The following is a 25,314-nucleotide window of genomic DNA, read 5'->3' on the forward strand; positions in this document are numbered from 1 at the left end:
AACCTCTCAGTAATTTCAGATTTAGACATTTGACATAAAAATGGCAAGACATGACTTTTACTGTATTGTCATGGTTTCTTTACATATCAGTGTCCCTTTGTCTAAGACCAAACTAATGGCAGAGATCATATCCCCAGTGTCAAACCCAGCTTGTGGCACAAACATTTTTTAAATAAATGAATGAAGAACAAATGAATGTTGGGACTTGGAAATTCTCTCTTTGCCATTCAAATATTTAGCACACAAGGTGTTTAAATGAAAGTGGACATGAAATTAAAAGTACTTTTTACAAAAGTGAACAAGTAAAAAGTCTTTGTACTTTCATGAGTTTCACTTTTGTAATGAAAATCTATCAAGCAGTTTTTATAACTGCTCTATCACACACAAGCATAGGAAAATATACAAAATTAACATCAGGGTTAACAAAAGGCAAATAAGTAAAGACAAAAATGATAAGACATTAGATTTTTGGAACAATAAGAAAAAAGCAAGTAGTCAAATAGTGAAAAATAGGAAGAGGAATTTACAGAAGAGGAAATACAAATGACAATAAATATATGAAAACTGTTCAAACCTGCTAGTAATCAGAAAAATGCAAACTAAAACAAAACTGTGTTTTCAATCATCAAACTGGCAGAAATTAAAAAGATTTATAATATCCAGAGCTGGCAGGGATAAATGGAAATAAGCACTTTCATACACTGTTGGTAAGAATATAAATTGATAAACCTGTTTTGAAGAACACCTGGCAGTATCTCAAATTTTCAATTTGCAACTTTTAGCCAACAAGGACTCTCTTCTACAGAAATACTTTCACATGAGAATAAAGACTTATGTACCAGATATTGATAGAAGCATTATTTATGATAGAGAAAAATCGAAAGGAAATTAAATATCTTCCTATCAGGAATATTAAATTCATTATTATACATTCATAGCATGGATACTATGCAGCCATTAAGGACAGTGCAGGCTTCAGTGGGATGACTTTAAAAGATCTCCCAAACATATTATTTAATGAAAAAATTAAAAGCATATTGGAAATTAAAAATTTGAGAATAATACCACTTATATAAATGTATGTATGTTTATTGAATAAACGAATCTGTGACTTAGAAAGGCTCTTTAAGCTACCAAAATATGTGGTGCATTGATCCTTTTTTAATAAAATACTTCATTATAAATGAAGAAATGGTACCTTAAAAAGGCAGCATTACATATCCTGAAGCATGATATGCTGAAGCTGGCATGATACTCACTAAACTCAACAGTTCCTACTGATTGGGAGAGGGATGAAGGGGAGCTAACATGTTTTACTCTACTTAGTTCTGTATAATCTGAATCTGTTAACAAAAATATATTACATATGTAATTTTAGAAAGATATCTGCTACTAGTAACCAGAAGGCTTCTTATAGCCATTATATAAGCCTGCTCAGCTTAATATTTATATGCCAAGCTGAAAGTTTATAACTGATTAAAGAGATATAAGCAGCATCACACAGTGACTTTTAGAAGCTAAAAGCAGCCAAATTGTTCCTTAAGAATGGAAAGCCCATCTAATTAAGTAATTAAAATTAATTAAGTCTACTTCTTTCCCTCTTGCCTAGTCTGTGGCTTGGATCACCTGTTAAGCTATGAGGCAGTACCCAAACTTCATGTAAAACTCTGATCATCAGTGGAAAGTGAATGATGTGATGAAAACCATCATGTCTTTAAACAGGTTGAAGATGAGTAGAGAACTCTGATCCCTCAATAGATCATTTTTCAAATCACCCTTGGAAGCTAAAAATGAAATGATTTAAATGAAGTAAATAATTCCTAGAGATTAATAAGGATATCTAGAATTGTTAGTATTGACAACCCACCTGAAACATTCCTTTTTTTCTATATATAATTGACCCTTCTACCTATTGACGTAAAGAACAGACCAATATCTATCAGGCCATACAATTTTACAATGCTGAGCAAGTCATGTCTCAATTTCCTCCATAGACTATGATCCCTCATTGCTCATCTTGAAAATCCTTTTGCAGAAGTAATGATCTCCCTATTACATTGTGGTTGAATCATTTGTGCTCAATTGAGGGTGCGTTTAGTTCAAGCAATACATTTTCCAGCAGTGTGAACACTAACACAGAAGCCCACCGTGCACAGTATATATGTCACATGGCTATTTTTCCAGTGAAGGGCACTGAAAAACTAGCTAAGAGCTTATTTTCCTCTTGATCTGTCATCTGTATACTCTATGGACAACTTGTCTGTCACTATTCAATTGTTCAAAACAAAATTCATTCTCCCGTATTAGACTACAAGAATTGATAAACAGAGAGATGACCCATCTAGTTACAGCTGAAATGTAACAAATGTCAGTAATTTGCTGTAACCTGACTACAGCTTAATAACAAATACCAGCTACAACGAAAACCTTCCTATTTTGAGTTCATTCTAAGATTTACAGAAAATTTTATAATGCTTTATTAGATATCATTTTTATTGTATGTACCTGCATTTGTCAGTCAGAAACCTCTAGAAAACTTTGTTTCTCCTTTGAGAATAAAAAGAGGTCTTAAAATGCTTTTGAATTATAATTTTTAATTAAGCTAAATTCTTCTAATTTCAGATAACTCAGATTTCATTGGCTTCATGCTCCTGTGAATATGTATAATTTTAATTGAATTACAGTGATATTTTAGTTTCCTGACCATTATATTAAAAAAGAGTTGTCTTTTCTGTAGTTGTCTGCCTTATATCATTACACATCCTCTTATATATGCAGTACCACTCATTTAACAAAAATAGTTTCTAGTAATAACTGTTAATTGGGAAAAATTACAGAAAATAAACAGCATAATAACCCCTTATACATTAGTACAGATGTAGTAACTATAAAAAGGATAATCAAATCACCCTCTGAGGTATTCAATTGCTTTTCATATTTGGAATAGAATTAAAGTAACGAAAAATGAAACCTTACAATTTTACAGAGAGGAGAGTGGCTGGCAAAAATAAGCTTGTCATGGTTTAATTTGAAGTTTTCTAGCTTACTAAAAATTTTCTTTTTGAATTTTAAATTCCCTGAAGCATGGCAAGTCTTGGGGCAGGGTGGCTTGAGGGTTGATAAATTCGGCTGCTCACCAACCCCACACAAGGCCCACGTACTTCTTTCTATATTTCTCCTTTGCCCTTCTGTATTCGGTTTAGCTCTCTTTCTGGCTGCAAGATGACCGTTGCATTTCTAGTCATCTCACCCAGACTTAACATTTCCAGAGGAAGAAAAGGAATTGTTCATTAAGCTGTCCCAGAAGCACCCCAGCTGACTTCTCATGCTGCATTAGCTGAAGCCCATTCCTAAATCAATCATAGGCAAAGAGAATGGGATTACCACAAAGGATTTTGTGAATATGGCTGTATGGAATAGGGTGATTACTCAACACACTTAGGTGCTGCTTGAAAAGAAGAAATAATAGGTGAATGTTCATTAGATGGATATTAAACAGTAACTGCTACTCCCTTTAGGTACTGCTTGTTATATACATGTCTACCTCCCCATGAAAATATATGTTCACTGAGAATGGATGCTACTTTATATCCACATTAGTATGTGCTTAATTCTTTTTCGTACTCAGCACGTTTCATATTTAGCAAATATTTTTCAATTAATGAATGGGTAAATTAATGAATATAAGAATAAATAATCATAAGAAAAGAAGCAAATTTACAGTGAAGTTAACAAAGCTTAAGATTTAAAGGCCTTTGGAAAGACCTAGGAAAAGCTTTAGAAATGTGTTCATATGATAATCTACTGTTAAAAATTTTACAAAAATAAGACATTTTAACTACAACTGGCTAAATTTGCTGACTCTATGCTGATTGACTTACCCTCCACCACATTTCTGTAAGTGTCGAAGTGACCATTTTGGAAATTCAGTGATCAGAAAGCTGAGCTAGAGATACATTTATTTGGAATTCAGTGGGACATTTTTGTGTATTTCTCAGTCACTTCCACGTCTAATAATGTTATCGCTACCACTTGGTATAGGAAGGGTTTCCAGAAACACCCATCTGCCCTCCATGCTGAATCACTGCAAAGCGATTTTTAAGAAAGGTGCAGAGCCAGAGGTGTTGTGTTTGAGCATGCCATAGAGTACCTAGCCCTTAAAGAATGTTAATAGTGAAAGAGAAAGATTGAAAGGGAGGGAATCAGAAACCAGTCTGTACAAAATTCTTTCAATCATCAGATACGTAAAATTGTAAGCAGAGGATTCAGTTCATTACAGATCCAGTCAAAACAGAAGATCTCTCCTGTGAAAAATATTTTTGATAATGTGATAATACAGCGTGTACAATTTTAAAAACCCCATACCTTTGTTGTCACCTTTAACGGGTATTGCACGAAACTAGGTGTTGTATGAAATGGAATTTCTCAGAATTCCTCTATGTGTAGGACACAAATCTATAACAATAGTGCTATAGTAAGTTTGCCTATGACAGCTGATAAAGAAATTTGATAGGTTTTCCCAAATTTAGCAACCACAAGAAAAATTTATATGATGTCACTCATAAAAAGTTATAAAACAGAAATAAATTTGTCTAGACTACTATTAATAAACCAAATTTTGACTAACAATTTTGTTATAGAAAATGATATTATAAAACTGTTGTCAAATGAACAGGTGAGCAAACTGTATGCATCCAAAAATGTAGTCTCAGTGCAAGAACCTAAGATAAGAATAAGAGTTAATTCCTGTTGAATGCTTTCTAAAGACTTTGCATTTATTTATTTCTTTAAATGCATTTATCACAACTCCATGAAGAAGTCACTGTATCAGCAGGATGAGCTAGATTACACTACAGTGTCATATAACCTCCCAAACCTTAGTCACTATATTTGTAAAGGTTTATTTCTTGCTCATTCTTCAGATCTTGTAGCTAGAAATTGTGCTGTACATGGACATAATGTAGAGACTTAGTATGACAGAGGCCTCCACCATCTGAAATATCTCCAGTCACTGTAACAGGAGGAAAGTGAATGACAAATAGCACACTGACTCTTAAAAACTTTGACTGGAAGTGACACCCATCATTTTCACCTATATTTTGTCGACCAACACAAGTCACATGGCCATGCCTAACTTCAAAGTAGTGGACAAAAACAATCCCTCCATTTACTCAGAAAGAGAAGAACATATATTTGTAAACGGCGAACGATGATTACTACAGGTACTTTTAACACATGGTAATATATAGGAGAACTGAACCATGGAGAAAACCAAGTAACTAGCCAAAGATTACACAATAATCAAATGCAAATCTAAGATTCATATCTAGGATCAAGTCCACATCTTACTATTATTCTACCTCCTTTGATGTAAATTTTTTGGTAAATCTCTGAGCCCTGGAATGGCAAATGGCATTACACTAAGCATTATATTCTTGGTGAGAAATTATGATGAGTAACTCAAGCAAGATCTGTACATCTTCTAGTTTAGTGAACAATATAGCTTAAACTCTCATTCATTATATTCATTCATCAAACATTTCTAAAGCACATTTAGAAATTATAAATGAATATAACTATTCATTTGTGATGCATTATTACATCAATTTCATGGAGAAAGATAAGAGAAAGGAACTCTCTAATACTAACTGGAGTTAGGAATTATCTGGAGATTAAAGGGTCAGCTATTGGACATCTAGAAGCTAGAATGACTCACTGCAAATGATCAATAGTCTGCCTTTCCTTCCTTCCTTCTCTCCCTCTTCCCATACTTCTTCCCATCTTCTCTTTCACAAAAATTTATTGCATTCCTGGTAGATGGCAGGTATTAAGAATTGGAGAGATAAACAGAAATAAGATCTATCCCTAGGGAACTCACAATCACAGCAGTAAATCAGATGCATAAATGCAATATAAGAGTCAATGAGACACTCTCAAAACCTTGTGAAATTCAAACTCTACATATATGCCTGATTTTATAGTGCAGGACCAGACTGTAATTTGCCAAGATATGTTTATTACAGTTCTCAGCCTGTGAATTTATTAACATCTTCTCTACTGCATAACACCTTTTGGTTTCATTCACTGGTATGTTTACAGCTGACATGCACTATCTTTCCTGGCTTTTGTGCCCACATTTGTTTACACTGACACATGGTACTATAGCTTGATGCCTAGATAAGACTTCAAGTGTTTTTGCTGAAATCGCTCAGAATTATTGTAAAGAGATGCATTTATAACCATCAGGGAACACTGAATCTTGGAGTCTGTGTTCTTTGGCATCTGTTAGTAAATATCTTACTACCCTCACCAGCTTTAGGGTATACATTGTTTACCAGTGGCACAGCAAAAAATATCTCCCATATTTTGTGGGGGGAAATTCTTTCTGGCTCTCACAGTTCTGAGAGTTGTTTACAGCCAGCTGGTAGAAAGTCTTACTTGCACTTCACCTGCAATGATTTGTGTGTCAGGCTTTTTGTCTCTTATGGTGCATGAAGAGGACAAATGAAAGTCCTTTCCCCTGCAATATCTTTCCTGCTCATGAAAGTTACTTTTCCAAACTTTAATTACTGGCATGATAGCCTATCTTCATTCTCAGTGTCAGAAGTCTTATTTTGGTTTCTTTTCCAATTACATCTTTTTCGAGTGCTTTATATATTTTAGTCTGCCGTAGATCCTTCACTATAAAAAAAACAAAGATAACATTTGTGCTATGTTACAGCAACTGTCTAGAGTCTATTTTATCTCAATCTGTGTCTTCAGTTTTTTCTATAGAAGTACAAGTAGTTATATATTTTTTAACATACTATTGGACATCATGGCTATAATGTCATATTAAAAATGCTAGCATTTTGCAAGAAGTTCAAACTGGAAGCAAGGTGTTTTTTTTCATTGGAAATTGTCAGAGATCGTAACGCGATGAAATATAATAAGCATAGTCTCTATTTCAGAATGAGACGCTGAGGAGTTATGACAAAAGATCAAGGATCAATTAAGTTATTTTTATACTGTATTTTCCTTTCTGGGCATGAAGTACAACTTTCCACATAGTTTCTTTTCCAACAGATGCTATATAATTTTGTTGAAATGATTAATGTAAACAAAACAGATAATTTGTTAAAGCTATTGGTGTGATAATGCTGCATAACAGGCCACCTCCCAAAATCCTCAGAGGCTGAAAATACAAAACCTTTACTTCTCATGTGTGAGTCTGCAGGTCCACTGTGGCAGCTCTACTTAAAATGTCACTTAGGTTCAGGTTTGCTCCACATTTCTCATCCTGGGACCCAGGTTGCAGGAGCAGCAGGTATCTGGAGCATGCCTGTCTGGAGGTACAGGGCAAGAATGCCAGAGTGATTAGCCAAACAATGCAAGCACGTTAAAGCCCTGGTTGGAAGTGACACATGTTGCTTCCCTTACATTCCATTGGCCAACCAAGTCTCCTGCCAAGCTCAAAGTCAGTGAGGCGGGGAAATATGCTTCATTCCCAGGCAGCAATGGCCAAGTCAGGGAAGAAAGGTAGATAGTATTATTGTGTATTATTGTGTATAATACAACCTACCATAATATCAGTTATGACTCTGTCTTCCCTGATATGATCATTGCCAGTGGAAATTTCTGATTGTGTCTTTCAATGTATGTCCAGAAAACTACATTTATTTCTTCGAGTATATTTCTTCTGTTATTTGGTATGTAATTTTCTACTTCTGCTAGTCTTTCATGCCTTCAACCTAGATCAAAGAATAGTATGTGTTTCTACCACAGTTTAATAGAATTGATATAAAACTACCCAGTAATATGATTCTTTCTAAATGAGATTATCACTTTTGTTAAAAGTAACATGTACTTGTTCATGTCCTTTGTAGGGACATGGATGAAGCTAGAAGCCATCATTCTAAGCAAACTATCGCAGAAAACCAAACACCGCATGTTCTCACTCATAGGTGGGAACTGAACAATGAGAACACATGGACACAGGATGGGGAACATCACACACTGGGGCCTGTCATGGGGTGGGGGGAGGGGGGAGGGATAGCATTAGGAGATATACCTAATGTAAATGATGAGTTAACAGGTGTAGCACACCAACATGGCACATGTATACATATGTAACAAACTGCACCTTGTGCACATGTACCCTAGAACTTAAAGTATAATAAAAAAAAAAAGAACTAGAAAAAAAAGTAACGTACTTCTACCCACTTTGTTTCTAAATGGGATTACACTTTTTTAAAAACTAACTTGTGCTTAGCCTACTTCCAAATATAGGAAAGAAATAATTATTTCATTAAAAAAGTAAAGCCCCTTTCATTCATAAAAGAGCTATACCCCCAATCCTTTTAAATATCTTTGTATTTTTAAGTTTTTTATTATTCATTGAGTAAACCAAATGTATAGATTATGCCTATCATTAAAATGCTCAATATAGTTTTACCTTTCTTCAAAATTCTCCTCTCTATAAACTTTGACATGCCTCCTATTTGCTATATTTCAAGCACATTGTCAATTTTGATGGAATTATATCAGCTATAAAGATGTTATAGATATCAGATATTATGTGAAGTAAATGCATTTTGCCAGATAATACCATCTGCACCTAAGGAAATATGTGAAGTCATATGGAAGTTCACAGAATAATAAGTAAACTTCGATGTTCATATTAGAGATCAGCCTAATAATTTGTGTTCATTCAAACATCTGTGATGTTCAGCTCATTCACGAGTCCCAGGAGATGTGGTACTGCCAATAATTTGTCCTTCCAGTGTAATAGAGTATAAGAGTAACATGTGTGTTCAACTCCATCAAAATGGATAATGTGCTGGAAAAAAATGTTGTTTGATTTTGGCTAGATATATAAAAATTAATTTTATTTAGAAGGGTAATTTTTTGGCGGGGTGGGCTTGCCTGTAATGCGGTAGGCAGGCCTCTCTATGGCCCTGAAAGTGAAGCCTCTTTAGCGCTTCCTAGCTCCCACTCCCTGCAATGGCTGAGTGGCCAGGAACCCAGGATCTAGCTCCAGAAGCTGAGTGAGCCCACCTTCCTCATTGCTGCATTTTGTTTTTAACGACAATTAAGATATTATTTACATAACAGAAATGTCGATCATTTAAAGTGTTACCATTTGATGATTTTTTTTGTATATTTATAGAGTTGTGCAACTATGACTGTACTCTAATTTTAGAACATTGTCACACCCCCCCTAAAAATCTCATACCCATTAGCAGTCATTCCCCATCCCCTTCCCGCTCTTTCCCAGCCCTAGGCAACTACAAATCTTTCTGTGTTTTCTGATGGTGGACAAATGGGATCACCCAACACATGGTCTTTTGTGACTTGCTTCTTTCGCTAAGCATAATGTTTTCAAAGTTTGTCTGTATTGTAGCATGTATCAATACTTCATTCCTCTTTCTTGCCTAGTAATCTTCCATTGTATGAATATACCACATTTTGTTTATTCATTCATCAGTGATGAACATTTGGGTTGTTTCTGTTTTTTGGCTGTTATGGATAATTTTGCTATTGATCTTCATTTGCAAATTTTTGTGTGGACACATGTTTTTATTTATCTTGGGTATATCCCTAGAAGTGAAATTGCTGAGTCATGGTGGAGTTAAACAGGATAACTCTGTGTTTAACTTTTTGAAAAGCTGCTAAATTGTTTTCCAAAGTGGCTGCACTATTTTTATCATCCCACTGGTAAGGAATGAGGGTTCTAATTTCAGGACATCCTGGCTAACACCTGTTGTTGTCTATCTTTTTCATTATAGCCATTTCTAATGGATGTGAAATGGTATTTCATTATGATATTGACTTGCATTTCCCTAATTACTAATGATGTTGAACATTATATGTGCTTATTAGCCATTCATCTGTCTTCTTTGGAACAATGTCTACTTTTCGCCCTTTTTTTTTTTTTTGGAGACAGAGTTTCACTCTTGTTGCCCAGGCTGGAGCGTAGTGGCACAATCGAGGCTCACTGCAACCTCCACCTCCTGGGTTCAAACGATTCTCCTACCTCAGCCTCTTAAGTAGCTGGGATTACAGGCTCACACCACCATGCCTGGCTAATTTTTGTATTTTTAGTAGAGACGAGGTTTCGCCATGTTGACCAGGCCGGTCTCGAACTCCTGACCTCAGGTGATCCACCCACCTCCATTTCCCAAAGTGCTGGGATTACAGGTGTGAGCCACCATGCCCAGCCTTGCCCATTTTTTAAATTGAGCTATTTGTCTTTTTATGACTGAGTTGTAAGAGTTCTTTATATGTTCTGGATACAAGTCTCTTATCAGATAGTATATGATTTGTAAATATTATCTTCCATTCTATTGGTTATTATTTTCTTGACAGTTCCACTTGAAACACAGCAGTTTTAATTATTATAAAGTCAATTTTATTTTTTCTTTTACCACTTGTGCTTTTGGTGTTGTGTCTAAGAAACAATTGTCTAATCCAAGGTCAAGAAAATTAACTATTGTGTTTTCATGTAAGATTTTTATGGTTTTTAGCTCTTACGTTTAGATCCATGATCCATTTTGAATTAATTCTTGCATATGGTATAAGTTAGGAGTCTAATTTTCTTCTATTGCATATGGATATTCAGTTGGCCCACACCATTTGTTGAAAGACTATATTTCCTCCATTGAATTATCTTGGCCCCTTTGTCTAAAATCAATTGACCATAAATATTTGTATCCATTTAGTTTTAGACTCTCAATTCTATTCCATTGACTTGTATGACTTTTCTTATGCAGTCCCACAGTGTCTTGATTATTGTGTCTTTGTAGCAAGTTTTAAAGTCTGTTAATATGAGCTCACTAGCTTTATTCTCTTTAAAGATTGTTTCAGCTGTTGTGGGCCCCTTGTATCTTCACTTAACTTTTAAATCAAAATACACAATTATTTTTAGCCCCTTTTTTCTGTTGTTGGTTTTTTTGCCTGAATTACATATAGCCTAGTAAATGATTTCATAAGTTGAACGAGTGTGGTTAGGGAAAGGGTTACTGACTTCTATAAATATACATGTATTTGCATACTAAAACATCTCCAAGCCTCCAAGCTTTAGATATTATCATAAAATTCTTGCTTAAGGAAAAGTATATTTTTGAATTTCATACTCTAATAACCCTAACACCCAATTCATATAGCAACTTATTTATCTGATTGTACTAAAATATCCACTGAAACAATAGTTGTAAATTAACATTGATGTAAACATGATTAAGTTTGGAAGAGCATAAACCACATGACATCCTGAGCAGAAAAAGGAGAAAATTCTCTTTCGGCCCCTTCCAGTATTCTTGCCTTGAACTTTTAAATACAAAAACTTATTTTGTTAACAAAAGCAACCATTCTCCTAAAACCAGAGAAGAGCAGTCATGAAAGGATTCACAAAACTAGGGAAATAGTTGCTTATTTTCATGCTTTGACCAACAATCATGGTCTTCCCTTGGATCTGAGTTTATTTTGGCACAGAAGTGCTATGGAGAAGCTTTCATAGTGATCATGGCCCTAAGAAATTAAAAAACTTATATTTATAGATTTAAAGTTAGAGAATTTACACTATAAAATATGGAATTTATTTTCAGTATCTCTTTTGTTGTATAATTTGTTTTTTATTTAGATTGTGTCCTACTGCATATATGTTAAGCCAGGTTATTTTCATCTGTCTTTTCTTTTTCTGTTCTTAATAGGTATGCAAAGTTTGTCTGGGTGAATATAATTAATTCCTCTAATCTTATGTAAGTCTTTTTCAATTACAGATTTTTTTAGAAGGACTTCTGGAATATGTAATAAACCTTTTGCAAATAATCAGTCTTTGATCAGAATTTTTAAAGACGATCCTTGGAGGGCATTTGAAAAACAAGGTTTTGTTTTATTTTTTCTGACTCAGGCCTTTTTATGGTACAGTTGCCAGAAATGTCATAAATCTCAAAAAGGCCATTCTTGTCCTGAACCAATTGACCCTTCAGCGCCGAATCCTCAGCTACCTCAGGAGTCCTACTGGACCTCACTGCCATTTTCTGAATAATTTATGTGATTTACAGTGCCTTGTAAAAAGCACTGAAACATCTCTCTGTGTGACTCGTTTGCTTTTAATTTATAGTGACATCTTTTCGTAGTAGTGGAAACTTGCTGAAAAACTTTTCTGAAACATTATGTTTTTCATTCATACTCACATCACTGTGGCTCAGTTTTCAGTGACCTCAATTTTCTGCTCTGTTGTTTTTCAAATTAAAAAATACATATGGGCAGTTTCTTGACAAAGTCACACATTAAATAACATTACCCATAGATCATTATCCTGTGTGCACTCTGCCATTACCAATGGTTACCTGACCTTTAGAATTAAGGAGAGCATTATGAGCATCTATTGAGATATTATAAGCTGTAATATTATTAGCATTTCTTAGGGTCAGCTGTAATGTTTACATTGCAGCTATGCTGGTGTCTCGGAGAAGGACACGTGTGGTTGGTAAGTGGCCCTTGTCAAGTCCTCATGATGGTCTGATAATAATAAAGAAAGTAAATGAGGAAAATGCTGTCTGGTTCAGTGAGATAGGCATCTGTAAAGAAGATTGAGCACATATGAAGTACTGTGCCCTGCAAAGAACATAAGGAGATGCAGAGGGCCTGGCAGGATGGGTACCTCATCATTTAAATTAGGCAACCAGGGAAAACACTGAGGATCATCACCTGAACAGGAAGAGGCACATACATTGTTGGCAGAGGAATTTAGATGTGTGGGTTAAGCAGAGCCAGTATATATTTAAATAAAACAGTTTTCTAATCAGAAGCCTGAAATAAATTAATTAAATTAAATCATATTTAGTCTTCTTCTGAAGGACAATTGTTTCTAGTATTTGAAGAATATAATTAGGATGATTTCATGAATGTAATTATCAGCAAAAGTGATTGCATCAAGAACATATGAACCTTGTATGTTTCACTATCGAATTGGGATTTTGTGTGGAAGAAGAAATGATGTAATCCCAGCACTTTGGGAGGCCGAGGCAGGCAGATCACGAGGTTGGGAGATCGAGACCATCCTGGCTAACACGGTGAAACCCCATCTCTACTAAAAATACAAAAAAATTAGCCGGGCATGGTGGCGGGCGCCTGTAGTCCCAGCTACTCGGGAGACTGAGGCAGGAGAATGGCCTGAACCCGGGAGGCGGAGCTTGCAGTGAGCCGAGATCGCGCCACTGCACTCCAGCCTGGGTGACAGAGCGAGACTCTGTCTCAAAATAAAAAATAAAAAATAAAAAAAGACTATTGTTTAGCAAGGTTTCAGTAAGCACTCAATAAATGTTAGCTATTATTATAATCATCATCATCATCATTATTATTGTTTTCTTCCACCTGATGGTTATAATTGTGCTTGGTCAAGTTTACATTGATTCGCATGAAGCTCTTCATTAAAGGTAATAGAAATAAAGAACTCCTTTGTATCCAGCATATTGTCCCCATACTTGCCCTTTATTTTAGCTATTTAAATCACAAATGGTCCCCTATTAACTTTGATTATTTTATAGCAAACACTTGAACAGTCATCAGAAAACCTAGTTTCTAGTTCTATTCTGCCACTCACTATTGTGTGACCTAGAGAGAATCTTATTATTTCTGGGCCACAGTTAGAATAGATGTCTATGAGCCCTTTTCTTTTATTTCTTTTTCTTTTTTTTTTTTGAGATGGAGTCTCCCAGTTGTTGGCGTGGGCTGGAATGCAATGGCGTGATCTCGGCTCACTGCAACCTTTGCCTCCCAGGTTCCAGCAATTCTCCTGCCTCAGCCTCCCGAGTAGCTGAGATTACAGGCACCAGCCACCATGGCCGGCTAATTTTTGTATTTTTGGTAGAGATGGGGTTTCACCATGTTGGCCAGGCTTGTCTCAAACTCCTGACCTCAGGTGATCCACCCGCCTTGGCCTCCCAGAGTGCTGGGATTACAGGCGTGAGGCACTGCGCCCAGCCTGTGAGTCCCTTTCATATCTAATATTCTATGGGGTAGCTCAAGGGGCAAAATTTCAGGAAAAAAGCATTATAATATATTGCATTCACTTTTAATCTGTCCTTGGAAGTCACTTCACTTCTGCCTCAAGCAAGACCCACATCTTGTTTGAGGATGTCATTTAAGGGTAGCATTGCAGGCTGCAGAAACTTCCATTGTATAGTGTCAGAGTTGTGGATATCAAACATTTACTCAGGATTAAAAACGTGGCTTAACCTACTTGGAACTAAAATTGAACTTTAAGAAGCTATTCTATAACCAAGACATAGATAGTTGTTGTCTTCAAACTAGATTTTACTATTTGTAGTGCCTTTGACCTTCATGCGAATTCCACAGCAAATAGAGTCAACTTTTTTTAACTGTTTATCCCTGGGCAGTACCATCTGATATGAGTGGTATTCCATCAAAATGTGTTTTTTTCCTGAGGAAGTCTTGCTGTAATACATCATCAGCATGACAGCTAGTGTATTACATATTACAATAAAACATCCCCAGAGCAAAGGTACATGTGATGATGAATTATGATAATATGTTATTGTCATTATGTTATCAGCACTCAGAGAATGATTTAGTGAGATACATCATCAGTGAGTGAATATCTGATTTTGTATTACTCAAAAAATGACACCATCATGGAAAACCACAAGCCTGTTCATTTGATTAATAGGGTTAGTGATATTCCAGTGCCAGAACTCATGTATGGTGGTATATTAAAATGTCCTTTGAAGCTGAAAACAAGTTAAAGAAAGATGAGTCCATGAGGTGAGGTTGTAAAAGCACTGTCAATTTGAATACTATTACTGTAGACAGAGTGTACAGTTAAGTATAAACCAAAAGTCACCCTTGTCTTTTATTCAAACATTTGACAGTGATTTAGTTCTACTTAATTATCTGTAAGCCTGATAACTTCTTTCAAGAAGCTATCTATTGTAAGACCACCGGTTATGCTATAAATCTACAGTCTACAGGTGACACTTTATTTATTTAAGACGGAGTCTCGCTCTGTCACCAGGCCCGAATGCAGTGGCGCCATCTCAGCTCACTGCAATTTCTGCCTCCCAGGTTCAAGAGATTCTCCTGCCTCAGCTTCCCGAGTGTCTGGGACTACAGGCAAGTGCCACCATGCCCAGCTAATTTTTGTATTTTTAGTAGAGATGGGGTTTTATCATGTTGGCCAGGATAGTCTCGATCTCTTGACCTCGTGATCCACATGCTTCGGCCTCCCAAAGTGCTGGGATTACAGGCATGAGCCATCATGCCCAGCCCAGGTGACACTTTATAACGATATGCATTAATGCCCAAAATCACTGAACCAAACCAGACATATCACTAAACTTTGTTGTTGAGTGACAGCTAATTTATTCAGGATATAAACTGATCACTTTTCTTATAGAATCTTCTTTTGCACAGAACCTTGTACACATTAGGCACTGAAAAGATATTTACCAAGTTGAATCGATGATTTTTCACATAACTTTCTATATTCAAAATCACAGAAATCACAAGTCTGACACCAAACTTAAATTAGAATAGCCAGACACCATGGATTGCAAATAGAAAACAACTTCATTTTTCCCCAACACTGCTTGTTCCATCACGGTCTCATGAGCTAGTCATTCTGTATCTTGCCACTGCTTTCTAGCTAAGGTCTCAGACCCATTCATAGTGTGAGGGGCTATGAGAGGGAGAACAGAGAGCAGGATAGATCTTACTCCATTGGTGCTCTCTTGATCTGGCATTGATGCCCTCTGAGCTTGCTGAGTAATTAAAACTGACTTTTTCTCTCATGGAATTCTTTCACAGGTTCTTTGAGGACCTCCTTTCACTCATTATGCAAGTTTTTCCTCAAGATGTCTTAACATTCTGTACCTTTTAGTGCTTATGACTTACGTTTACCTCATTAATCTCTGTTTTCTAGCTATCATTCCCTTCTGTATTGGCACCAACTTACCCTAATAGGCATCTTATACTTTTGGACAAAATCCCTTTGAAGAAAACCTCTAAGCTGGCCCCACCTCATAAGAACCATATCTGATTCACAGAAAATAGATTCTTCTGGCACAGAAGAATGTATTCTTCTAGCAAAAACACAGCTAGATCCTAACATAATAATAATTATAATAACTAAATTTTACTGAGTGTGTACTATGGTCCAAGCGTTGCTACATGTGTTAACTTATTAAACTTCCTCAAAAGAGGAGGGTAGTATTATTATCCTCATTTTACAGATGAAGAAACTGAGGCATAAAGAAACTAATTTACCCACTGTGACAAGACCCACTGTTGGGAAAGCCAAGCCTCAACCATTGCTGGCCACAGTGTCAGTGTGCAGGCTCTTTGCGATACATAATTGTAAATTTAGTATTAGCACTCAATACTAAATTTAGTTTTAAAACTAGCAAAATATGGTTGTTCATCATTAGAACAGGTATTAATCAGTCAGTGCCTCACCTTTAAGCTTTTCCAGGCATAGACTCAAAACAAGTTCGTTGTATTTTCCTAAACCTCATCAGTGAATGAAATTTCTCCCCGTGGTCCTATTACAGCTCCTCACTGAATTTGAAATGAGGGGCGCCACAACACTCAAGCTGTGTTCTCCAAAAATAGTTATTTGTATCCCAGCCTTTTCTACCACAGTGATCTGGGTATGGAGCAATGGGTAACAAAACCAGTGTATTAGTTTCATTGTTTTTAAATTTCCTTTTCAAGCCTTGGAATAATGTAGGATAGGTTTATAATTTAGAATACTTGCTTATTATTAGTTTTTCTCTCCTTGGCCTTTTGGAGCCTCAGCCAAAATTGAGACAGAAAGAGTACTATTTTAACATCCTTTAATAAAAATAAAGGACATTTTCTGTAACCCAAAAGGCAAGGAAATGAGAATGTATGGCTTCTAGGAACAAGTGGGATGCTTCTTAGTCCGTCATGAAAACCTTAAAAGATGAATGTGTCACAGACCTCAAGAAATGTTTCAGGGTCATGAAAGGCATTTTTACTTCAGTTGATTTATGCGTGCAATTTCAGTAGGGCAGCCTGTGCTAGAGTGCTTCCAGGGATCCACTGGTTAGATCATGATGAAGGTGGCATCAAACTGTCACTGTTCAATTTGGCTTGGAGGTGTGTTATCAATTTCTGAAGCATCTAATATACTCGACTGAGCTGACAGGATGTGGCACATTGTGGGTCCCAGCAATCATTTTATGTCAATCTGTCCCATAGGTTAGGGTGCTGCTGGCTTTCCTCCCCAAACTGCTTCCACCTAAAACTTCCCAAGTTGACTCCCAAAATAGGTTGACTATTCACACCTGTTTTATACTCAGCGCCTGGCCCTAGTTTTATTGGCATGTTAAGAGAAGTGAAGTAAAATATTAATGATTTTTAAAGACAAAAACAAAGCATTAAAAGTAGATAGCCAATGCATGTTTTTTGTTTGTTTGTTTGTTTTTGAGACGGAGTTTCACTCTTGTTGCCCAGGCTGGAGTGCAGTGGCACAATCTTGACTCACCACAACCTCCGCCTCCCGGGTTCAAGCAATTCTCCTGCCTCAGCCTCCCGAGTACCTGGGATTAGAGGCATGCACCACCATGCCCGGCTAATTTTGTATTTTTAGTAGTGATGGGGTTTCTCCATGTTGGTCAGGCTGGTCTGGAACTCCTGACCTCAGGTCTGCCTGCCTTGGCCTCCCAAAGTGCTGGGATTACAGTTGTGAGCCGTCGTGACCGGCAGCCAATATATGTTTTCTTCATCTACTTACTAATAAAGAAATAGACATTTTCTTCAGAAGAAAAAAATGCATGATAATCAAACTGCTTCACAATCTATTTCTTGAATTAAAGGTTTTTTTTTTTTGTAAAACCGTATTTTGCCAACTACAAATTCCTCTTCCTTGTGGGAAGGAAGTTTACCTAAACTTGTCTTCTGTCTCTGAAGGCTGAAAAAGGAAATTCTAGTGCTTAAAAATGTGACACAATAAATTTCAGGATAACACAATAGAGTTAATGTGTAAAGCTCTGTACATTTATAGGACATTTTTATTCACGGTATTTTATTGCATTTTGACAAAAGGAGAGCAGTATTATATAAAGAAAAAGTACTGGTTTGAACTCTGAAGCCTGCATCTAAATCTTGAATATGGCAATTATCGGGCATGTGGCCCTCGACAATTTTCCTGCTCTTTCTGACCTTCATTTTCCTTGTCTGAAAATGGTGACAATCATTTTATTAACCATAAGTAAACTGAGTATAGGATCTCTGCCTTATTTATTTTTGTATCCACAAGTCCTCGCACGGTGCCTGCCAAACGGTTCCTGCCAATAAATTTGTCATGACAAGTAAATATGTCTGTGAAGAATTATTATCTCTCATTTACAGATTAGCAGATTGAAGCTTAAGATGTTTAAATGGCCCAGTGTTACACAACCAGTAAGGAAAATGCTATGGTCAGTTGTGAGAACAGGATCAAATTCTGGAAATTGTGACATATGTGGAGTCCAAAGCAGAAGCATTAATCACTGTAAAAGAGAATATCCAGATGCATATAGACGAGCAGGGTTCAGAAACACATACTTCTGGTTGTTCCATTGTGATAACTAGTTTGCTCCTCTTCACTTCCTGCAGATACTGACAATTAGTAACAAGTACTATGATGCAGCCCCTCTTGGTGATAAAGAATATAGGACAGGTATAATATATAGTTTCTCATTTTGAAATTCAAAAATGTTTTCATGAGTATATTCTACATAGTGTTCAGCAGAGACACTAATATGAAAAAGAAATAATACTAATAATTATTCTTACATGAGCACAACACTGTTGCAAGCACTTTGGGTGCATTCTCTCCTTTAATCCACCCAACAATCCTATAAGGTACTGTCATTATCTTCACTTCATAGATGAGAAAATTGAAGTATTGAGAGGTAAAGAAATTTGCTAAAAACCTCAGAGCCCATAAGTTGTGGAGCTAGGATTCGGATGTAAGCAGTGTGGTTCAAGAATCTTAACTCTTAACTTCTGTACTTTACTGCACCGTGTGGTGGGTAGAGAAACATAGGACACAATAACGGGAATCTGATAAACAGTTCCCAAGTCCAACATAGAAATTAAAACTTAAAACTGAGCAAGAATATAAGGCCTGTACGAATAAGCTATGTTCACAGAATGACCAAGAAACGTCTAGAAAACTTATGAAAATTAACTCCTTTTTAACCACTACTTCCCTTATGCCACCATTTTCTATAACACATGTTCATATAAGCATTTAACAAAATGTACTTTGTCTGAACTTGCCTAATGACTAGAATAAGTTCCCTGAATTTTTAAGGGATGGCAGAAATATTGATTATTTGGCAATTGCCTCAGCCCAAGTTCCCTGGAAAACAGAACTTCAGAATTTTAAATGATGATGCTTTATTTTGGAAGTACAAAACCAGGGCAACTGGATGGAGGGAAAATGGAAGTTTAGCAAGAAAGAATGTGAAGCAATACCACAACATATTACTGTGTTTGCTACTTCTTCATGTGGACCACAAAAAGCACAGCAATTAAGAGATGTGTTCGCTAACCATGAAGAACTTCTCCAAATGAGCTGTATGGAGAAAACACGCTTCAAAACCATTCATGTATGAAGAAAATGTGCTTCAAAACCACTCATGGAAAGAAGCAAGAAAGATGTTGCTGTAGAACTCTTTTCTGTCTCCTGTTCTCCAGTGACCAAAGTTCGCCATATTATGAATTAATTCCCCCGCGCTTCCAAGTTGAATGAAGTGTCTCCTTCGATGACCATGTGGGATGCCAGATACCACATTCTTCAGGGCTGTGTCACTGAAGTCCAGAAGTGGTAGAAGTCACAAATTCTGAGCTGCTGGACCTGGCTGGGTAGAGGTGAACCTGGCACTCCTAAGACAAGTGCCCATCAGCTCTCAAGGGTGGAAGTATTATCTAAGAAGCAGATAAAGCTAATGTAAGCTGACCCATTATTCCGTAATATTTGTGTAACTTTTAGGAAATCAACTTTAGCTTAGCTGAACAGAATATCTAAAGTCAAGGCTGCTAACAAAGAACTATCTCTTTTAAGGTACAACACCACCTAGGGTGTGGGATATGGAGGAAAAAGAAATACACCACACACACATACAGTACACATATAAAATATATGCATATATGTATATTATGTAAAATTGCCTTTGATATTACAAAATATTCAGTTCTGCATATTATAATCTAATCACAATCAATAGATGTACAAAGATGTAATTTTCTCTGCAAATTAGATGTGGTTTTTCAGAGCCAGCGTTCCCATCACTGGTAGACCAGTGCAGGCCAACCCTGACACAGCAGGGAAAAGAATGGGAAAGACATTAGGAAGGAATAGAATATTAGGCAACTCCACACAGGCCAAAGTCCAGGAGGCAGGTAGGTTGTGTCAGAGAGTGAAGAGAAGGATGTCCCTGTTGGTGAGAAGAGCACAGTATCCAGAGCATCTGTCAGTGGGTAATAAGTGGTTGTTCAGGAATGCAAACAATTTTTGTACTAGGCATAGTCTAAGTATTTTAGTGTGAAGGATTCCAGTATGAGTTTATTCTAATGGAACCTATAAACCAAATAGAGGAGGACAAATGTCCATATATGAGAAATGGACAGAGATTGGTCTGAAAGAACCAAGCAGGAGCTAATAGACAAAAGGATACCCACATGGTGATTCAGTGTTAAGTCTTACAGCTTTACAAGCTCCCTGTGTGGAGATAGTAGGGGTCCCAAAGCCTAAGAAAGAGCTCAGTATTGGCTGAATGTTCCATCTTGGGAGGATCAGAGGGTTTTGGGGGCAAGGAGTCAGATTAAAGGGACAGATGCATCATTTAATTACTAAGTTTCCTGAATTGGAGTGCATTAACAGTTATATCCTTTCAGCAAAAAATGTATTAAGCACTTATTATATCTGATATCTAATACATATTTTGCATTAACAACTAATAAAAATTCTATACTCTCGTATATTTTGATAGTCTAACATATTTATCTTCATCATGGATTATGGGTCATATATATGTATATATATATATATAATATCATTTCAAATAGTAAATTGTAATATGAGTACTATTTGCATTTGTCTGACAATGATATACCTACCTTCTTTTTTTATATATACCTACCTTCTTGACTATTGTATAGTATAATTTATACTTGTTGTTTCACATTCAGATTTATCTCTAATCCTTTCTTTCTTCTTTTCCATAACCCCTCAACTATAATGCAATCAATTCCTTAAATCATGGGTGATAGGAACAATGTATAGTGATTCCAAGCCATTTCCTCAAATTTATAAATTGAGTGCCAAGTTGAAAATAATATCAGGTATCTACATTTCCATTTAAATGTTCTCAAAGGTGGCCATTCCTGACAACTGGCAAGAGTATCCTGCTCTGACAGTCTGACCCTTACACTCCCATTAAATATAAAAACAGATCTGAATCTTTCACCCAGTTGTACTGTCAAGGCTAGTGTAACTTGCCTGTCATATAAAGCTCTTTGAATCAGCCTGCCAAGAAAATATGATTGTAGTACAAATTTTAGCATTCAGAAATATTCACTCCCCTTTCACTTACATGGATTTTGAGGGTCAAAACTATGCATTTTTATCAGGTGTTTTATTATCTTTCAACTTTTGTGAAGATCAATGTGTTAGAATAAAGAACTTTTTTCTCCTTTAATGCCAAAGTGATTTGGTATAAGGGAAATACTAATGAGCCATTATATTACTTATTGAAAGTTCCCATTTGACAAAATGAGAAAGTTTTATGTAAAGGATGGATGCAATCTTTAAATTCCATAATGCTTTTGGAAACTAAGCACCTGGTCAAAATAGATGAGCACTTAGAAAAGGGATAAAAAATATGGAACTTTGAATTTTCTTAGAAACCTGATGCTTCTTCAGCAAAAACAGAAACTAAAACTTCTGACATAAATGTAGCACAGAGAGAAACTTTTTCCCCATTCATTTTAAATATAATTGTGCTTATTATAATGCCTAATGATGATGGATGTTTGCATTTTTCTGTTATATAACAGTACTGCAATTCAATCACTATTTCTCTTATTATCATCATACCAGCGTAACCACTGGTACTTTTAGCAGGTAGCATGTAGGTCATTCTGGCTTCAACCCATGGATTCATTGAATCACTTTTATTTATTTATTTTTTTTACAGGTTAGATTGTAAACTCCATCATTTAACAGAATGAACTATTAAAATGTCTAGGATGTTATCTTAAAACAAACAAAAATCATAAATAAAGAAACCCAACTTGAACAGAGTTAGACTATTGACCCCATTTTATCATCAATAGCATGAACACCCACTGTACTAAATGTAAGAAGTCTCCGTTTCCTTAAATTATACAAGTTAATATTTTCTTTTTAAGAGATACTCAGGGAAGGGAGGGTGAGATCATTTTAGGGCTCATGAGAAAGAAAGATTGACAGCACTGGCTGAAGTCAGGCAGAAAGCAGTCAGCCCTCGGGAAGCATTTCTGACAGCTACGCTAATGCACTACAGAGCTGACGTGAAACTTCCTCTAGATTCCTAAAAGAAGCCATTTGGGAAGAGCCTGTTGATAATGCAAAACTGGGCCAAACGGTTCTGGTTGTGGACTGCTAGCAAAAGTCTACCCAAGACTAACGGGAAATGACTGACCTCATGTTTCAAATGAAAAATATGAGTATAGCTATCCTCAAATGAAAGGAGCTTTCCCACAAATTAGGATGTTATTTTTAAAAACAGCATATTGGATTTAACATCTCAGGTATTTTCCTACAAGTAGGTAGTTTTTTTCTTCTTGAATTCTCAGGGCTCTGCTTAAAGTTCAATTTTGTTTACCAGAAAAGTATAAGAACAAGTTTAATGCTGTAAAAGTTGTTTACTTAGAGCAATAATATGACAAACAGAACTGAATAAATAGCAACTTACACATCATATAAAGTTTTCCAGCCAACATTGGCTGTAAAATCACCAGTGAACTAGAAAACAAAACAAAATACAAAAATCAGGCTGAAGGATATAGATGAAAACCACCTTATCAAAAGCACAATCACATATATTATCTTGTTTTGTGCCTCAATAATGGATGAAGTTCATGGTAACAGTAACTGCTGTTTTTGATTCCTTGAATTGGTTCAGCAACTTGACCTTGGGTCCATTTAACATTGAGCACATGTGAAGTCCTTTGCCCTGAGCAAATTTGTTTTCAGGGGGAAAAAAGTAAAAATTGTTCGTATAGAATTTCATAACTGAGAGCACTAAAAAACAACCTTTCTGAGTGAAATTTCTTTCTTTCTCATTCCCAGTACATATATATATATGTGAGAAAGCAAAATGAACAAAACAAAACAAAAACAAAAGTTGAATACTTTTCCTTCTTGCCCTTCAGGTAAACTACTTACACTAGAATTTTTAATATAGACTAAATTATATAAAACATATGAATTAAATAGGAAAAAGTGGATTGCTTTTTAAATATGGCATTATTAATTTTAAATATCTATAGAAAATCTTTCTAGTCTAATTAGCAAGTCCTTAGAGGATGTGATGATTAATTTTATGTGTAAACTTGACTGGCCTAAGGGATGCCTGGACATCTGGTAAAACATTATTTCTGGGTGCAACCATGAGGATGTTGCAGGAAGAAATTAGCATTTGAATCAGCAGACAGCAAAGAAGATCTGCCCTCATCAACATGGGTGATGGGTGGGTATCACCCAATCCATTGAGACCTTGGATAGAACAAAAAGGCAGAGGAACGGTGAATTCTCTTTCTCTTCTGGACCTGGGATATCCATCTTTTCCTCCTCAGACAACAGAGCTCCTGATTCTCAGGCCTTCAAACTCTGACTGAATTGTACCATCAGCTTTCCTGGTTTTCCCTCTTGCCGATGACCTATCATGGGACTTCTAGGCCTCCATAATTATGTGAGCCATTTCTCATAATAAATATCCTCATATATCTGTCCATATCCTATTGGTTCTCTTTCTCTGAAGAACTTGACTGATACAGAGTATTTTCCCTAATACATAAATTTAAAGTGAATGTAAATGGTGCTTCTATAGTATGTGATGGTCTTCAAAAAGACAATTTTTCTAAATTTTTTTATTATGTTCCTTGTAATTTTTACATGACTAACTTTGACTCTCTATTTAGATTATTTAAAGCAGAGTAAATGGCATCCCGTTTTTATCTGTAATATGGGAAATATTAAATCATGACTGAAATAGATATATTTAATGTATAAAAATGTGGTGTCATGTGAATATTACAGAATTATGAAGTAATGTTACTAACTTTCTAGACATGGCAAGATTTTCTTATCTACTCTCCTATTTTCCTTCTATTTCCCCTTCAGCAATCCACAGAGCAGCCAAAGTGATGTAAAATAAAAATAACAAAACCAAACAAAAATGAAAATTTTATCATCCCCTTGCTTAAAGCCTTTCAATGGTGTTCCATTGCCACAAAAGAAGGTCCAAATGTATTTAATGCCCAAGGAATCTCTTCATGATCTCTCCCCTGCTTACTTCTCTAGCCTCATCTCTCCCCCTCCTTTATCTCACCTCTTTTCTCCAATTGAACTCAACTTCTCTCAGTATCTCTAAATCTTACATTCTCCTCTCTACCTGGATTAGTCTTCCCTCCCACATTTCCCATCCCCTCCTCTCTCACACCTCTTTCATTCATCTAACTCTATTCATCTTTCATAAGGTTCCAGCCTAGTCTTCATTTTCTCTGGAAGGCTCTCCTGACTCTCCACTATCATGGCGCCTCTCACATTTCATGGCGCCTCTCACATCTCATGGCATCATTTAGAAAAACCTGTTACATGATTAGCACTGTTGTGATTGTACACTACATCTCTAACATTCATTTAACCAATATTAATTGAGCACTTATTATGCTTGGGCTCATTTCTAAGCACTGAGAAAACATCAAAGAACCAAGCAAACAGTCTCTGCCTCAGGGAATTTATAATCTGTACACACACTGAATATTTGGCAGCAAGAACTGAGTGAAAGAAAACAGGACAGTAGAGAACAAAAGAAAAAGAACAGATCAAGAAGCGTATAGATTAAAATAAGAAAAAGCCAAGAGACATTCAAGATAAAAATGGAAAGGGCTCTTAGAAATCTGGATTGACCTTTTAAAAGACCTCACTCCACAATTGGATAAGCCCTCTTTTATTTTAAATCATCTTTTGCCACTGGCTTGTGATATCATTTGAAGATGATATAAATTATTTGTCGCTTCTTTCTACTTGCA

General features: G+C 36.0%; 1 protein-coding gene across 14 annotated transcripts in view, besides 1 other annotated feature; it reads left to right on the forward strand.

Moving 5' to 3' along the window:
- The window catches only part of EPHA6 (EPH receptor A6), a 946,939-nt gene that overhangs the window by 865,973 nt on the left and 55,652 nt on the right, over window positions 1-25,314 (forward strand). The window lies entirely within an intron of this gene.
- Window positions 7,111-7,640: an enhancer, noted in NCBI's record as "OCT4-NANOG hESC enhancer chr3:97406521-97407050 (GRCh37/hg19 assembly coordinates)". NCBI's record gives its function as "activates a minimal SCP1, AML or CMV promoter by ChIP-STARR-seq in naive and primed H9 embryonic stem cells {active_cell/tissue: H9 hESC(naive and primed)}" and the evidence as "EXISTENCE:reporter gene assay evidence [ECO:0000049][PMID:30033119]".

Source organism: Homo sapiens, chromosome 3 (genome assembly GCF_000001405.40).
Source record: "Homo sapiens chromosome 3, GRCh38.p14 Primary Assembly".
NCBI lineage: Eukaryota > Metazoa > Chordata > Mammalia > Primates > Hominidae > Homo > Homo sapiens.